We start from the raw sequence: 18,613 nt of genomic DNA, 5'->3' as shown, positions 1-18,613 counted from the left end.
CTTATCTCTTTTTTTTTTTTTTTTTGAGATGGAATCTCGCTCTGTTACCCAGGCTGGAGTACAATGGCACGATCTCGGCTCACTGTAACCTCCACCTCCTGGGTTCAAGCGATTCTCCTACCTCAGCCTCCCCAGTATCTGGTACTACAGGCACGCACCACCATGCCCGGCTAATTTTTGTATTTTTAGTAGAGATGGGTTTTCACCATGTTGGCCAGGCTGGTCTCAAACTCCTGACCCCAGGTGATCCGCCTGCCTGGGCCTCCCAAAGTGCTGGGATAACAGGTGTAAGCCACCGTGCCTGGCCTCTTTTTTGGGGGATGAGTAGGGGGCTCAGTGTCTCACTCTATCACCCAGGCTGGAGTACAGTGGCACGATCTTGGCTCACTGCAACCTCTGTCTCCTGGGTTCAAGCAATTCTCGTGCCTCAGCCTCCCAAGTAGCTGGGATTATAGGCATGTGCCATCGTGTCTGGCTAATTTTTGTATTTTTAGTAGGGATGGGGTTTCACCATGTTGGCCAGGCTGGTCTCGAACTCCTGACCTCAGATGATCCACCTGCCCTCGGCCTCCCAAAGTCTTGGGATTACAGGCGCGAACCACTGAGCCAGGCCCAATAAGGCTTATCTTGAGCACCTCTGAGTTTTAATATTTTCCGTATTTTCAAATTTTTCTACAATAAGTATGTATTACTTGAAGGATCAAAAAAGTTATTTTTTTTTAAAGGTAGTGTGGGATACTACCACATTAAATGGAGAGAGTAAAGCAAAACAAAACAAAAGGCAGCTGTGAGTACTCTTTCTCTAGAATGTGACTTTCTTTACTTAATGCCTCCAAAGATTTTTAGGCATGGGTGGGTGAAGGAACAGGGAATAGATATTACAGAACCAGACAATTAATAACCCCCTACTCTACTTAAAGAAAAAAAGGCAGAGTCTAAGTAAATTTAGCTCTGCTCATCCGTTGAGGCATCTTTATACATCACTTGAGGAAATAGCATCTAGATCTTAAAAAAAAAATCACAGAAACACTGTGGAGAGAAAATTTGGAAAGAATGAACCTTGGCTTCTCTTGTTAGAGCTTAAATCTTCTCTAAATCTAACTTCAGAAGGTGGATCCAAGAATTTTTTGTTCTAGTTTTAAAGTAACAAAAGACTAAGTGTAAAAGTGGAATACGTTCCCTTTTAGAAATAGAAGAAGGAGAACAGAAATAGACTGTGAGGGTGTGATTATGATTCTTACAGAATTTTAATATCATGGGCATATTAAGCAAATGCATAAAATGTGTTTTAACACACCCACTATTACTGAACAATTCACATGCGCCTGAATCAGCCTAAATCTCTTCAGGAATTGAGGACTACAGAGCTTCATCTGCATCTGAAATCATCTTTTCCCATATAAACTATACTGAAGTTCAGAGAGTTTCAATAAACTTTCATCCAAAACTAAGCTGATCTAAATGGTACTAATCCTATATGCATTTTCCTACCTGTCAGAGAAAAGCACGGCAGTTACAAAAAAACTGTTAGCAGTACCATGATAAAGAAGCTGATGTACAACGTCATCCCTGTATATAAAAACTGGTTCTAGTATTTCCTTGGTTTCTTAGGTACAATGTAACAGATGCTGTAGTAGGCCTGTTTGTGACTGATGGGTTTTCTAGATCTTTGAAAATTGTATGAGGGGTTGAGAATCGGGAGAATAATGAAAAATGATTACCATACTCCTGATAACACAGACTACATTATAAGATGATGTAAGAGGCCAGGCGCGGTAGCTCACACCTGTAATCCCAGCCAAGGTGGGTGGATTATGAGGTCATGAGTTCAAGACCAGCCTGGCCAAGATGATGAAACCCCATCTCCACTAAAAATACAAAAATTAGCCAGGCGCAGTGGCAGGTGCCTGTAATCCCAGCTACTCAGGAGGCTGAGGCAGGAGAATCTCTTGAACCCAGGCAGCAGAGGTTACGATGAGCCAAGATCACACCGCTGCACTCCAGCCTGGTCGACAGAGTCGGACTCTGTCTCAAAAAAAAAAAAAAAAAAAGATGATGTAAGAGGGGCGGGTGCAGTGGTTCACACCTATAATCCCAGAACTTTGAGAGGCCAAGGCGGGAGGATCACTTGAGGCCAGGAGTTCAAGACCAGCCTGGACAACATAGTGACACCTTGTCTCTACAAAAAATAAAAAATTAGCCAGGCATGGTGGCAGGATTCTTGGGCCTTGCAGTTTGAGGCTTCAGTGAGCCATGATTGTGCCACTACACTCTTACCTGGGTGACAGAGCAAGATCCTGTCTCAAAAAAAAAAAAAAAAAAAAAAAAAAGATGATATAATGGATGGGAAGAGAACAAGAGTCTGAGATCAGGCACTTAGGACTTAGGTCCTGATCCTGGCCTTGTCTCTCACTACCTGGGTGACTATAGTAAGTGACCTGACCTCAGGGTCTGGGCCTTCTCATCTGCGAAAATAGAGAGTGGTCCTAGGTGGCCCCTGAGTCTCTTTCTAATCCCAAAATTCTAATTTCTCTCCTCTTAATGACTGATTAAAACAAAGGTCCAGATCTCTCACATTTTCTTTGAAGAATGAAAGTTCTATGAAGAATTCCAACTCCTTCCTAGTCAAAAGAATGTTCAAAAAGAGCTTGTAAGGTGACAACTTCCTTCCGGAGAGATTCCAACATTGAAAAGTAACCAGAGCCTCATGTCAGCCAAAAAGATTTGATCTATTAGAAAAATGGCATAGCTTAGACGAACTGCAAAATAATTTGTGACTACAGAAAGAGAATAAGGTTTAAAGAGAAAAAGAATACTGTATTAAAGAAAATGTGTATATTTACTTCTTCCCAATCTCAGTTCTAGACTAAGAAGTAATTCAAACACATTTTAAAAATATGATATATCAGAATCCTTAATTTGGCAGTAACATAAATTATATACTTTAAAGGCAAAAACAGATATTCTTATGTGTCTCCTCTTAAGTCAATTAGAATGTTATACTGGTGCATTGGAACAGTGTCAACGAATTCAGTATTCCATGAATTGAAACCAAAATCACACAAACCCTTGGGTCCTTCATCCTTGGGGGGGTGAAGGTTCCTAACTGGATCCCGGATACTGCAATCTGTCCCTGCCCAGGTGAAATCACAAATGCAGGTGGCTTCATTACTACACACCTGTGAAGAAAAAGGAACAGATATGGCATTTTCACTGTATTTTGTAGAATAATAGTGATAAATGTAAAAGAGACACGGGGGCAGGGAGGAAGCTTTAAAAGCTATTTGGAATTTCTTTTTAAAGTTTCCCATGGTCTTGATCACTAGACACAAGGTAATAATGCATAGATCAAATTGTGTAACATTTTTTCCCATTAATTAAAGAAAAAGAGTAAAAGGAAGAAATTCTTCAATTATTTATCTTATTATTTATTATTATTCTTAAATTGAATTATTCATGTTATTCTTAAATTAAATTGAATCATGATATTACATAAGTATACAAATGTCTGATAAGATACTTTTTTCTACTTTGTTCAGAAGTAACTGTTTCTAGGAACCCACTTTAAAAACATATACACTTACTTCAATAAATTAATAGACAGTGGGCTCAAAAGCACTGCTGGAGATAAAAGGCCAGGAGACATAAATCACCAGTGCCTTGTATGACCTCACCGTTACCACGTCCAACACCAAACTCACTTGGTGGCACTTTCCCTGCCCAACAAGGATTCCCCCCCACCACACCCCCACACCCCTAGTCCTTGGTAACCCTCTTTTCTCAGTCAGCCAAGCTGAGGACCCCAGAGTGATCTCTGTCTCCTCCCTGTTTCTCCAGGGACCCACCAGCATGCTGGAATGGAACTGTAATCTAGAGGAAATAAATAACAATGAGCAAACTAGAGACAGGAGTGTTTAAACCCTTATCTCCCTGAGAAACACATTCAGAGATGATAAAATCAAACAAGGAAGCTTTTTAATCTGAAATATTCTAATACCATGATTGTGATTAACAAGGCTGAATTTGGCCTTTTTTGTTGTTGTTGTTGTTGAGATGGAGTCTCGCTCTGTCGCCAGGCTGGAGTGCAGTGGCTCAATCTCGGCTCACTGCAACCTCTGCCTCCTGGGTTCAAGCGATTCTTCTGCAAAAGCCTCCTGAGTAGCTGGGACTACAGGTGCCCACCACCACGCCCAGCTATTTTTTGCATTTTTAGTAGAGATGGTGTTTCACCATGTTGGCTAGGAGAATGGCTGAAATTAAAGTCCAGTCACTGTGACCATGCCAGACCATGAAGGTTCCAGCTGTCACATTGATACCTACTTACCCCATGGCCCGAACAGACTTTACCCTTGGAATCGAGTGGACAGCTGCTCATATTTAGGGCTTGAATTTGTAGGCACTTCCGATCTAAACACATCATAGACGGGCCACATGGCGTTCCATCTTCTACATAGCCCACATCCGTATCATCATCTAAAACTACATGGGCACCACTAAAACAAGAAAGATACCCATATAACTATTTGCACCACACTTAGAACATCATTCCATGAATGAGGCTTGCTCTTCACAAAACCGAAGAGGCTGTCAGTGGATGTGGATTTCTCCTAGCATTTTCTTACTCCTCTTCTTCTTCCCCTTTCCCTACCTTTCCTTAATAAAAGAGCATGAAAAAGAAACACTCTTTCATTATCATTATTACAGTACACATCAACAAGAAAAATGTCATTTGCACAAAGTATATTCTAAATCTTCACGTGTTTTCAAGACCCAACATTAAGACTAAAGGAGAGAAGTATCTATATGAGAACAAAAGAAGCAAATATATCATTAGCTCTCCAAGGCTTTCAGATGTAGCATGGTAGAAAAAAGCAGACGATGAACAAAAACAGCAAATGAAAAATATTTTGAAAATTATTATTCTTACTTCAGAAGATCTGATTATCCATAATTGAAAAACATAAACAAATCAGTTATTTTCTATTGATATTTACAGACATGCCTAGCTTAATGATGGGGATAATATTCTAAGAATTGTGTCATTAGTCAATTTTGTCTTTGTGCAAATGTCATAGAATGAGCTTACACAAACTTGGATGGTATAGCCTACTATACACCTACACTGCTAGATGGTCTAGTCTATTGCTCCTGGGCTACACTTCTGTATAGCATATTATACTGTACTGCAAACTGTGGGCAATTATAACACAATGGTAAGTACTTGCCTATCTAAACGTATCTAAACATAGAAAAGGGGCAGTATGACTTTTCTATGTTTAGATACGTTCAGATAGGCAAGTACTTACCATTGTGTAAAAAATTTCAGTCAATGACAGACCACATATATGACAGTGGTTTCATAAGATTATTTCATGTGTTTTAGTGCTTACTTCTAAAATTTCAAAGTTAGGTATAATTTGAATTTGAATGATAATGCTATAGTCACTAATAGAATATCTTGCTGAATATTTAACAAATATGCTAGTTTAGTATATACAACAATATAATTTAACAAGGCTATTTTATCTAAAGGCATGAAAACACACATTCAAATAAAGCTTGTATACGTCAAAGTAACTAGCTTTAGAGACTACAAATTTATTCCAGGAGGGATCTTACTAAGACCCTGTTAGAATTGTCTTCAGAGCCATTTAAAAGCAAGAAAAAAAAAAGTAACCATTTGACTGAGACAGCATTAGCCAATTTAGTACCCAATGAATTTACTAAAATTACTTTTGGATAATCCCAAATCTTATATTACCTCACTTAAGGTGAAGATATGGTACTCTAAGGATACTAAAAGTAAAAGTTTGCAGACGCTGAAGGCAATTCTGCAGGGGGAAGCCCAAAAGTGTTTTGAGCAACAACAATACCATTGAGTAAGAGAATAGTATCTTCGAATTATAACTACTTTGAAGGGAACAATACCTATTTGGAATATAATATGACTCCCCGACTAAACAAAAATAAGCCTCATATCTACATGCCTTGTACTCACAGACAACTGGATATCAAATGTTTGCTTATCGGTATACATACTATTTTAATAAATATTTTCTATATATGATTAGGTATTTGTTAAGCCATCTTCCAAACCAGACATACACTTCATAAACTATAGCTTAAATTCTTTTTCTTTTCAGTCACAAAATAAATACACACACAGTGTTCAAAATAGTGGCATACTCTAATGCTTAAAACTTTAATAATGGGTTAGAATGAACACCATAATTCTACTCCTAAAATTATGATGACAAAGAAGGCCATATTACTACTAACTAGTATAATTTTGAGCAAATGTAAGCTGCAAGTCAATATACAACTTTGTTTCTTTTTAAGTGACTGTCAATATGAAAGGTGATAATAAAATCTAAATTAACTTTCCTCTTGTAAAAACTAGAAAAATCTTTGATTTCTGATTTTTTTGAAATTTCATTTTGTGAAATTTGTAATTCTCATGGCTTATTAGGTCTTCTAATATTTAATATGTTACCTGCAGTCAATCACCCGGCCTTGATGGTAGAAGGAAGTTGGAATGATCTCACCCTGAAGTTGACCAATACGTGGAGCTCGAGTAAGATTGGTACAGAGTAAGAATCCACAGAACACATCACTGAACATGTGTAAAGAAAACAAACAGACCAGACAGGAGGAATCAAGCTCAAAAAATCAAAACGATTCGGTCCACATTGATTCAAATTTTTAAAATATTATCTTTCTTTCTAAACAAAAACATTTGATCATATATCATTGGTAGGTGATAACCTCCTCCTTCTTTGCTAAGAGGATCACAGTTTTGTTTGGAACAGCAAAGTGCCCAGCCCTGAAAGGTGGATCATGACTGCTGTCTCATCTATTCTTGGTACTCCCATTCTCGACGCCCACTTTCCTATCCATTCCCCCTTCTCGTCTTCCTAGAGTTAAAAGTGGCCCCTGGGCTGTGAAGATGTGAGGAGAAGCTGGCTAGGGAGTGGCTGGGAGGATTTTGTTTTCTGGATAAAAGGTTAGAGACTGACAGGGAGAAGACCTTTTGCTCCTATCCTTACTTCCTACCTTTGAATGTGTAGCTTTTGTATCCACTTTACAATCATGAGTTCACAAAGCATAAGGACAAAAAATCAACATGCTAAGGGTTACAGGATGGAGGGGCAGAAATTATCTGGGTCTTTGGTGACCTTGTTAAATTCATGCACCATGAGGACCTCTACCTCCAGTCTATCTGTTAAGTAAACAATGACTCCTAAAAAATGGGCAAAGAATTGAAGTGGCACATCACAAAAAAAGGAAATCCATGTCCAACAAATGTACAAAAATGTGCTAGATTCCACTTGTAATCTGGGGAAATGCAAATTAAAACCATGCTAATATAGCAGGTCACACCCACCAGAACAGATAAAAGCAAAAAGTCTGATAATACCAAGTGTTGGTGAAATATGGTACAATAAAATTCTTATATACATAATACTGATGGTAGAATTTACTAGTTCAGCCATTTTAGAAAACAGTCTGACATTATTTGGTAACAATGATAAGATCCCCTATGACTTAGCAAATTTTCTACTTATGTACAGGCCTTACAGAAAGAGGTACAAATGTGCACTAGGTTACATATACAAGAATATTCATAGCAGCATGGTTCCTAACAGCCAAAAAATGAAAACAAACTAAATGTTCATCAACACAGAATGGAGAACTAAAGTATAGTATATTCATTCATTTGTGCATTTATAAAAGTGAAACAAATAAATAATAAAAATGAACAACAGACAGCTATACACACCACAGAAAACTCTTAAAATGCTGGACTTGAGAAGCAAAATACAAAATAATACATGAAGCATTAGGGATGAAAACAGGCAGTAAAACTCTAAAGAAAAGCAAGAAAGTGACTGCCACAAAAGTCAGGATGAAGGTATCTGCACTATTTCTGGGATGCTGCAATGTTTTATTTCTTGACCCATGTAGGAGTGACATGGGAGTTCACTTCATAATTATTTGGTAAAATGTATATTTATTTGTTATTTATTTTTATGTTTATACATTTCACAACTTAAAAAAAAAATAGAGATGAGGACTCACTATGTTGTCCAGACTGGTCTTGAACTCCTGGACTCAAGCGATCCACTCGCCTCAGCCTCCCTAAGTGCTGGGATTACAGGCATAAGCCATCGTGTCTGGTCATATATTTCATGATTTTTTCAAGTTTCAAACACATTAATTTCCCTTAACTTATTGGGGATTGGGTATTCTATTACCAGATACTCAAAAGCTATCCTTTACAATAATCTAATCCAATGCCTCTCAAACTTTTTGAGGTCATGAGACACAGAGAGATAATCAGATTCTCTAGGACATGGAGTGAATGAATAAAGCTAATCAAATTCAAGATGTCCAATCCCATGGATTTTGACTACTTCAGGCTCCCCTTGCTCCTATCCCCTGACACCTCGAGGACTGAGGATCAACACCTTGGAACATCTGTGCTTCACTTATGAGACATCAGATAAGAAGCTCTGTTCTCTATTATTTTGGTTTAATTTTTTAAAAATTATAGTCAAAGATTTGTTGCCTACTGTGGCCTCATCCATCATCAAAGACTAAATGGAAATGCAAAGTTTTGTAAAATATAGCAGAGATCATTAACTGAGAATAAAGCTTCCCTTAAATTCTTGCTCTGCTTCAAAATTAGGAGAATTTTCATTGCTTTAGAAGGAAAAGGAAAGAGGTTTGGGCTATTCCTTAATGATTCCATTGTTCCACAGTAATTCAATTAACCTTAATAACCTAATTAATGAGAATTCTAACTTTCCTCAACTAATCAAATAAATATCAGGCTGGACGTGGTGACTCACGCCCATAATCCCAGCACTTTGAGAGGCTGAGGAGGGCGGATCACTTGAGGCCAGGAGTTCAATACCAGCCTGGCCAACATGGTGAAACCCTATCTCTACTAAAAATACAAAAAGTAGCCGGGCATGGTGGCAGATGCCTGTAATCCCAGCTACTCAGGAGGTTGAGGCACGAGAATCATTTGAACCCAGGAGGTGGAGGTCGCAGTGAGCTGAGATCATGCCACTGTACTCCAGCCTGGGTGATAAAGCGAGACTCAGTCTCGAAAAAAAAAAGAAAGGGAGAAAGAAATATCAATGTGCTCTGAAAGCATCTCATTTCCTGAGTAAAGATGGCTTTAATATGTACTAACTAGATGCTTTTTGGAAGGGAAAAAAAATCTCTGGTGTAGATATTAGATATCTGATTAAATCAAATGTTACTACACTTGTGAAATGATAAAAAACACAGTAAGATTTCACGTTGGTCGCAAAAATATATACGGTCTATATAGTTTGCATTTAAACTACATGTATACTACTACACTCATAGGCCATATATTCTAGTAAAAGTAGAAAATTAAAAGCTAGTATTAATTTGTAATGCTCTGGCAAAGTATCTCGTCAGAACAAAAATGAAGTAAAATGTGGCACCTGAGAAATTTTCTGAATTTTGTGAAAATGGCATGAATCTGTAGCATAGTAACAGTTTAATCTATAGCCATTTGCCTCTAGATATAATAATACCTATTAAAAATAAATACTTTAAATTTTGGAATGGTGAACACTTAGAAAAAAATCATTAGCATTTATTTTGTGCTCATTTTGCACTTGCATAAGAAGGGCTTCCAAGTCCAGTGACTATGCCCTTAGAGCTGACCACTCACTGTTTGCTGCACTGAATCCACCGGTCTCCATCCTTCCCGCAGTTTCCCTTCTCAGTGCCTTCTGTATTCAGCTTTTCATAGCAGAACTTGTCAGACCCTGCAGCCTCTTTTGGAGATAGGCAAGAGAAGAAAATTAATTTTCATTTTCTTTGTTATCCATAACCAGTAGTGTGCCAGTAAGTGTTTAACACCCGATTCTCCAGAGCAAGGAAAAAGAACATCCTGATTTGTAGCATTTGCAAGTTTCCATGGTATAAATTCTCCATGGCTGATTTCACACTCAATGTGATATCCATGGGCTTCCAAAATTCCTGAAAATTTAACAATTGGCTCTTGCAAGCTAATACAAAAAAGCTCCAAAACAACACTGTTTTTAGCCTGAGAAATAAATTTCTCTCCAATCCTTGTTGGTGAGTTTGAGGATGGAAGGTGCGAATGATTATCAGCAGGAATTGGTGAAGTGACTGACACACAGGAAACTAACATTCTTAATCTTGTTTTATATCAATATTAGGAGATAATTATAAAGTCGTAGCCTATTGAGATTTTATGTTGGCACCTGAGTTTTGATAATTAAACCTTTCAAAATACAAATATGTCTATTATCTTTTCTCTGTCAAAACTAAAGCACTGAATGTAAATCAGTCAAATAAATGATATTTGCCAAACTCTAAAATCACTCATGCCAGAGCCCTGTTCTCATTCTGTGTGCTTTCTTTTCCTTTGGGGTGAACCCAGCCTTGGCTAGAAAGGCAGACGCATTTCTCATTCTTCCCCCCGTCTGGCCCTCATGAACTGATATTATTGGAGAGGCACTGTAAATGTCAGGAAGAGGATATGCACGTGAACTTTTACGGAATGTACTAAGAATCACAGCCATGTACCTATCTGCATCTCAGGAAGTACATGCATCTCTTCACTTTGAAGTGAGACAGTAAATGACAAAATTTAAAAAATAAGTCTGGTATTTTCCTGCGGTAAAAACCAGAAAGCTAACTTGTGTGTGTGTTAATGGAAAAAAAGGGGGTCAAATGTTAAAACCAAGGTACAAAATAAATCACACAAGTGGCTGGATAATCACACTGTACTCAACCCAATCTTTGCAAATGAATGCAACACCCCTTCTCTGAGAGCCACAGCCATTAAATGGCACTGCTCAGTTCTGACAAGTACCCAACTTAAGCAGTTGTTTTCTATAGTTTTTGTGACTAAGATTCACAGTTCTCTTTATTCTCATCCTTTCTAGATTTTTTTAAAACATCACTCCAAGCTGTGCATCTCTCTCAGCAAGACTGGCAGAGAAGAACACTATTAAGAGAAAATGGTATGTGTAACCGCCAAGCAAGGAGGTGCGACCTACTTGTTCCCCAGATGTACTGACACTGGTTGTCTCTGGTCTTGCACTCGCCATTGTAGCAGCGGCCCTGGGGACAGGAGCACACATGTGAGGCACACAGAGTCAGTTTGTCTTCCCCAATGTTTTTACTACAATGTCTCCTTCTGGTTCACTTGGATAAAGTTTTTTCATTTCATACCCTAATATTTTTATAGTGACCAGTAAGGATCACAAATATCTCAAGAATAAGAGTTAAAACTTTAAAACTCTAAACAGAACTCATTGTACAGCTCTCTAAATGTAAACTAAACATCTACAATTTGAAATTTTACAGCAAACAAAAATTGGTACATTTCTGTGAGAGACACCAAAATGATTTTTAGCTTCTTTTGTGTATGGATGGTTAGGAAACATCAAATCTGCATTTGACATCATGATACTCACCTGTAGGTTATAATATGGCTTCAGGGGAAAAAAAACTCATGACAGATTGTCATATTTTCTTTCACACACCAGGCAGGCTGAAATTACTGAAAGATGGTCACAACTCAATAAATGAGACTCCCAGTTCTTCAGCCATTACATTCTTTTTTTTTTTCTCTTAATCTGGACAATTTGTCACCAGAGGTAAATATATTTAATATTTGGCATAACATGAAGCAACTCTAAATTAGAATCCCACTATAATAATTTACTTGAGTAAAATTCCCTTCAAAGTTATATTAATATTTATCAAAAAAGGAAAAAAAAACTTTCCAATGAATCCTTTTTAAATTACACTTAAAATTTATAGCCCAGCATACCTGATTTTGATTGCATGCATATCCGTCTTGCTTATGAAGATTTGGTGGGCACTGCAAAATATTATCTTTTTAGTTAATATTCAGCATGCTAGGTACCTTCAGATAATGTACATACTATATATAATGCAAGCATGGTGGATATATATAACTAGAAACATTGAGAAAAACACATGCAACTCCTTAAATACGTTATTAATTCAAATTATTTATCCTATTATTGGTAAAATAAGTAAGTAAGGGCCACACAGTGCATGCATTTTATATGTTTCCTCTGTTTATGGTGAGATGGACCAGAATAACAAGTCACATTCACTTGCCTACAGAGTTAAAAGTAGAAGAGATTAAAATGGACAATGAAGGAAATGAATCAGCTTGGTACATAGAACGGTCACATTCAAGAAACTAATTTACAAGAAGTTGCTCAGCTCTCTGAAAATGTCAAATCTGCATTTGACATCATGACATTTTACCTATAGGCTACTTTAGTGAAACAGAAGAAATACTCTGCCTTTCAACACAAAGTAAGTGCTATATCTCCATTATATTAATAGTTCTGACCTCTTCAAACTGCAGACATGTTACTAGAACAGTCTGTGATGTGATGGTTATTTCTTTTTATAGGTCTATTTATCAAATCATTTTTTAAAGAAATACTTCATTTCCCCCCAAAGTTACTCTCTGTACATTTTATTGACTACATTTAAGAGAATGGAAAAAGATCAAGTCAAAGGCCCTGCTACAGAGTTTAAAACAAATACAAAAAGAAAAAAATATGCAGGCATGGCAAATAAATAAGAAACAGCAGTGTGCACTGAGGTCCTCCCTCAGTCTTCACCTTCTCAGTAAATGATGTTCCATCCTTCCAATTGTTCAAGCCAAAGGCCATAGTCATCTTCTATTCCCCTCCTCTCTCACTCTTCCTCCATCTAGTCTGTCCATAAATCCTGCTAGTTCTATCTTCAAAATATAATTCCAATCTGACCCCTTTTCTCCACCTCCACTGCTCACACCCTGTCCAAGCCACCACCACCTCTCACCTGGATTACTGTAATAGCCTCCCACCTGAGTCCCTTGCTTCTATCCTAGTCACCTTAGAGTTTACATTGCTATCAGAGTGATCTCTTTAAAAAGGTAAATACCAAATCACATCGATCTTCTGTTTCCCAGCTTACTCAATGACCTTCCAAGCTCAACATGATCTGCTCCTATACTTTCTCACCCCGTCATCTCTGTGACATCATTTTCTGTTCACCCATGGCTGATGTGAGTCCACGTGGACACACCAGTCATGCTGCCACCCACAGCCTTTGCCTTTGCTTTCCCGTTGTCGCTCTGGATTTCGGCATGGCTCATTCCCTCACCTTTGTTAGAGCTTTGCTCAAATATCATCATCCCAAAGAGGCCTTTATAGAACCTATGCTCTTCAAAGCTGCAGCCCCTCCAATGCTGGCACTCTCTGGGGCTGTGCCAATTTAGGATAAGGGCTTTAAGGGCTTTTTATTTATTTATTTATTTTTAGAGAAGTCTACAAGTTTTTTTCTTTGTTTTTTTTTCTTTTCCAAAGCACTTATCACCAACTGACAATTCATAAGTTTTACTTACTTGTTTGTTCATTGTTGCCCCATCATAATGTGAGCTCCATGCAAGCAGGATTCTATGTTTTGTTCCTTACTGCTGCCCTAGTACCTACAACAACACCAGGCATGTGGCAGGTGTGCAAGTACTGTGAGCTCACAGAGAAAATAAATGAATGACTCAATAACCAGATACGACTATGTTATTCTATGCTGCACATATTGAGCCATTTATCAAGTTCACCACAGAAAGATAACAGAACTAATTTAGCATTCCTAAGAAGCAGTAATTTCCTAACAAACATTCCAAGGCAAATGCTTTGGTTCTACACCTTTCTAAAGAATAACTGACTCTCATAAATGTTTCATTCGCCACAGCTTTTCAATCTGGTGAGTATTCAAGGGATCAGCAGTAAAAAGCAGAAATACACAACTACACAAGAGCAGAAATCCCTGTGGTTTCTTTAATCCATCCAGAGCCACTCAAAATGCAATCATTATCTCATTAATCAACTATCATTAATCATTCACTCACTCTTAACCTTATGCAACCAGTGATCGGGATCATGGCGGACAGGAGGCAGGACTAGATTGCAGCTCCGGACAGGGCAGCATGCGGAGGCCTGCACTGTGAATTTTAGCTCCAGATGGACTGCAAGAACAAACTAGCAATCCCAAGAGGACCTACAGACCCTCTGAAGGAAGCAGACTGCTCCTGCAGGACCCAGGAGACACCCAAATACTGTGAGTGCCCCAATTGTGGAAGTGGGAACACACACCCCCGCTGGAGAAGCTGAAGGTCTGTTTGCAGGAAAAGTTTCCGACTTTACCTGGAACTGAGTCAAGCTAGAGAGCCAAGCCAAATACAGGGGTAGAGGAAGCAACAAAAAGGCCCTGAGAGTTCACTGGGTCCCCGAGCAGCCCATTCCTGCCTAGCACCATAGGGATCCAACGGGAAGGTGGCCAGAGGAGCAGGGGGTAAAACTCCACAGGGAGAAGGAATTCTCTAGCTGAACTTTTTAACAATTTGAACTGGGCGAGAAGCCTCCTGGCCATAACTTGGGGGAGGGCACCAATCGGGTGTGCAGACTTCACAGGCCGGGGAAGAACTAAAGCCCTTTTTTCTTGAAGCTGGGACCATCGGGTAAGGACAGGACTAGGCGTGTCTGAGCTCAGACTCTCCTTGGGTGGGTCTTGCTGTGGTTGCTGTGGGGGATGGGGGTGAGACTCCCAGGTCTCTACCTAGGAGGATTATGGCTGCCTCTGCTGAGTCATGCAGGTTGTCAGGAAAGTGGGGGAAGCCAGGAGTCACAGGCCTCACCCAGCTCCCACACAAACTGAAGAGCTGATTATAGTGGAAGACAAAGGGCATATAATCTTGGGAGTTCTAGGGCCCTGCCCACTACCGGTCCCTCTCCACACTACTACAGCTGATGCTTTCTGGAAAGCACGACCTTGTGGCAGGAGGCCAACCAGCACAAAAATAGATCATTAGACCACCAAAGCTAAGGACCCTCATGGAGTCCATTACACCCTCTGCCACCTCCAACAGAACAGGCACTGGTATCCACAGCTGAGAGACTCGCAGACAGTTCACATAACAGAACTCTGTGCAGACAACCCCCAGTACCAGCCTGGAGCCGGGTAGACTCACTGGATGGCTAGACACAGAAGGGAGACAACAATCACTGTGGTTCAGCTCACAGGAAGCCATACCCATAGGAAAAGGGGGAGAGTACTACATCAAGGGAACACCCGTGGGACAAAAGAATCTGAACAACAGCCTTCACCCCTAGACCTTCCCTCTGACAGAGCCTACCCAAATGAGAAGGAACCAAAAAAACCAACTCTGGTAATATGACAAAACAAGGCTCTTCAACACCCCCCAAAAAATCACACTAGTTCACCAGCAAGGGATCCAAACCAAGAAGAAATTCCTGATTTACCTGAAAAAGAATTTCAGGAGGTTAGTTATAAAGCTAATCAGGGAGAGACCAGAGAAAGGCAAAGCCAAAAGCAAGGAAATCCAAAAAATGATGGAAGAAGGGAGAAATATTCATGGAAATAGTAACTTAAAGAAAAAACGATCAAAAATTCAGGAAACTTTGGACACATTTTTAGAATGTGAAATGCTCTGGAAAGTCTCAGCAATAGAAATGAACAAGTAGAAGAAAGAAATTAAGAGTTCAAAGACAAAGTCTTCGAATTAACCCCATCCAACAAAGAAAAAGAAAAAAGAATAAGAAAATATGAACAAAACCTCCAAGAAGGTTTGATATGTTAAACAATCAAACCAAAGAATAATTGGTGTACCTGAGGAAGAAGAGAATTCTTTTTTTTTTTTTTTTGAGACGGAGTCTCGCTCTTTCGCCCAGGCCAGAGTGCAGTGGCACTATCTCGGCTCACTGCAACCTCCGCCTCCCGGGTTCACGCCATTCTCCTGCCTCAGCCTCCTGAGTAGCTGGGACTATAGGCGCTCGTTACCACGCCCGGCTAATTTTTTGTATTTTTAGTAGAGACGGGGTTTCACTGCGTCAGCCAGGATGGTCTCGATCTCCTGACCTCGTGATCCGCCCGCCTTGGCCTCCCAAAGTGCTGGGATTACAAGCATGAGCCACTGTGCCCGGCCGGAGGAAGAGAATTCTAAAAGCTTGGAAAACATATTCGAGGGAATAATCGAGGCAAACTTCCTTGGCCTTGTGAGAGACCTAGACATGAAAATACAGGAAGCACAAAGAACACCTGAGAAATTCATTGCAAAAAGATCACCTAGGCACATTGTCATCAGGTTATCCAGAGTTAAGACAAAGGAAAGAATCTTTAGAGCTGTGAGACAGAAGCACCAGGTAAACTATAAAGGAAAACCTATCATATTAACAGCAGATTTCTCAGCAGAAACTCTACAAGCTAAAAGGGATTGGGGACCTATCTTCAGCCTCCTCAAACAGTTATTAGCCAAGAATTTTGTATTCAGCCAAAGTAAGCATCATATATGAAAGAAAGATACAATCGTTTTCAGACAAACAAATGCTGAGAGAATTTTCCACTACCAAACCACCACTACAAGAACTGCTAAAAGGAGCTCTAAATCTTGAAACAAATCCTGGAAACACATCAAAACAGAACCTCTTTAAAGCATAAATCACACAGGATCTATAAAACAAAAATACAAGTTAGAAAGCAAAAACAAAAAAACAAAACCAAAGCACACAGGCAACAAAGAGCATGATGAAAGCAATGGTACCTCACATTTCAACACTAACATTGAATGTAATGGCCTAAATGTTCCACTTAAAAGATACAGAAGCACAGAATGGATAAGAACTCACCAACCATCTGCTGCCTTCAGGAGACTCACCTGACACATAAACACTCACATAAACTTAAAGTAAAGGGGTGGAAAAGGCATTCCAAGCAAATGGACACCAAAAGCAAGCAGGAGTAGCTATTCTTATATCAGACAAAACAAACTTTAAAGCAACAGTGGCTAAGAGACAAAGAGGGACAGTATATAATGGTAAAAGGCCTTGTCCAACAGGAAAATATCACAATCCTAAACATATATGCACCTAACACTGGAGCTACCACACTTACCAAACAATTACTAATGACCTAAGAAATGTTGGCCGGGCGTGGTGGCTCACGCCTGTAATCCCAGCACTTTGGGAGGCCAAGGCGGGCGGATCACCTGGGGTCAAGAATTCGAGACCAGCCTGACCAACATAGTGAAACTCTGTCTCTACTAAAAATACAAAAATTAGCCAGGCATGGTGGCACCTGCCTGTAATCCCAGCTACTTGGGAGGCTGAGGCAGGAGAATCACTTGAACCTGGGAGGCAGAGGTTGCAGTGAGCCGAGATCGCACCACTGCACTCCAGCCTGGGCAACAAGAGCGAAACTCCATCTCAAAAAAAAAGAAAGGAAGGAAGGAAGGAAGAGAAAGGACATAGACAGCAACACAATAATAGTGGGGGACTTCAATACTCCACTGACAGCACTAGACAGGTCATCAAGACAGAAAGTCAACAAAGAAACAATGGATTTACACCATACCTTGGAACAAATGGACTTAACAGATATATACAGAACATTTCATCCAACAACTGCAGAATACACATTCTATTCAACAGTGCATGGAACTTTCTCCAAGATAGACCATATGATAGGCCATAAAACAAGCCTCAATAAATTTAAGAAAACTGAAATTACATCAAGCACTCTCTCAGATCACAGTGGAATAAAACTGGAAATTGACTCCAAAAGGAACCTTCAAAACCATGCAAATACGTGGAAATTAAATAACCTGCTGAATGAGCATTGGGTCAAAAACAAAACCAAGATGGAAATTAAAACATTCTTCGAACTGAATGACAATGATGCCACAACCTATCAAAACCTCTGGGATACAGCAAAGGTGGTGCTAACAGGAAAGTTCATAGCCCTAAATGCCTACATCAAAAGGTCTGAAAGAGCACAGACAGACAATCTGAGGTCATACCTCAAGGAACTAGACAAACAAGAACAAACCAAACCTAAACCCAGCGGAAGAAAGAAAACAGCCGAGATCAGCACAGAACTAAATGAAATTGAAATAACAACAACAACAACAAAATACATAAGATAAATGAAACAAAAAGCTGGTTCTTTGAAAAGATAAATAAAATTGATAGACCATTAGCAAGATTAACCAAGAAAAGAAGAGAGAAAATCCAAAAAAACCTCACTAAGAAATGAAACAGGAGATATTACAACTGACACCACTGAAATCAAAAGATCATTCAAGCTACTATGAACACCTTTACACACATACACTAGAAAATCTAGAAGGGATGGATAAATTCCTGGAAAAATGAAACCCTCCTAGCTTAAATCAGGAAGAATTAGATACCCTGAATAGACCAATAACAAGCAGTGAGATTGAAATGATAATTTAAAAATTACCAGCCAAAAAAGGTCTAGGACCAGATGGATTTACAGCAGAATTCTACCAGACATTCAAAGAATTGGTACCAATCCTTATGACACTATTCCACAAGATAGAGAAAGAAGGAATCCTCCCTAATTCATTCTATGAAGCCAGCATCAACCTAATACCAAAACCAGGAAAGGACATTACCAAAAAAGAAAACTACACACCGATATCCTTGATGAACACAGATGCTAAAATCCTTAGCAAAATACTAGC

At 39.2% G+C, this 18,613-nt stretch overlaps 1 protein-coding gene across 3 annotated transcripts in view, besides 1 other annotated feature; it reads right to left on the bottom strand.

Annotated features, from left to right (window-relative positions):
* ADAM23 (ADAM metallopeptidase domain 23) overlaps positions 1–18,613 on the bottom strand; it is a 177,596-nt gene that overhangs the window by 21,898 nt on the left and 137,085 nt on the right. For all 3 annotated transcript variants that reach the window (NM_001410985.1, NM_003812.4, XM_005246932.4), the window contains exons 19-24: positions 11,855–11,905; positions 11,076–11,139; positions 9,716–9,821; positions 6,494–6,613; positions 4,325–4,493; positions 3,068–3,179 (exon numbers count right to left, since the gene is read on the bottom strand). In NM_001410985.1, the coding sequence (NP_001397914.1) occupies positions 3,068–3,179; positions 4,325–4,493; positions 6,494–6,613; positions 9,716–9,821; positions 11,076–11,139; positions 11,855–11,905 (622 nt within the window). The remainder of the gene's footprint in view (positions 1–3,067; positions 3,180–4,324; positions 4,494–6,493; positions 6,614–9,715; positions 9,822–11,075; positions 11,140–11,854; positions 11,906–18,613) is intronic.
* Positions 13,862–15,061: an enhancer, noted in NCBI's record as "MED14-independent group 3 enhancer chr2:207448893-207450092 (GRCh37/hg19 assembly coordinates)". NCBI's record gives its function as "activates an origin of replication core promoter dependent on BRD2, BRD4, P300/CBP and CDK7 cofactors, and independent of MED14, by STARR-seq in HCT116 cells {active_cell/tissue: HCT116}" and the evidence as "EXISTENCE:reporter gene assay evidence [ECO:0000049][PMID:35650434]".

The sequence above is a fragment of the Homo sapiens genome, chromosome 2 (assembly GCF_000001405.40).
Source record: "Homo sapiens chromosome 2, GRCh38.p14 Primary Assembly".
Classification (NCBI taxonomy): Eukaryota; Metazoa; Chordata; class Mammalia; order Primates; family Hominidae; genus Homo; species Homo sapiens.
Note: the sequence above shows the minus strand (reverse complement) of the source record. Positions and strands in the feature narration are given on the sequence as shown.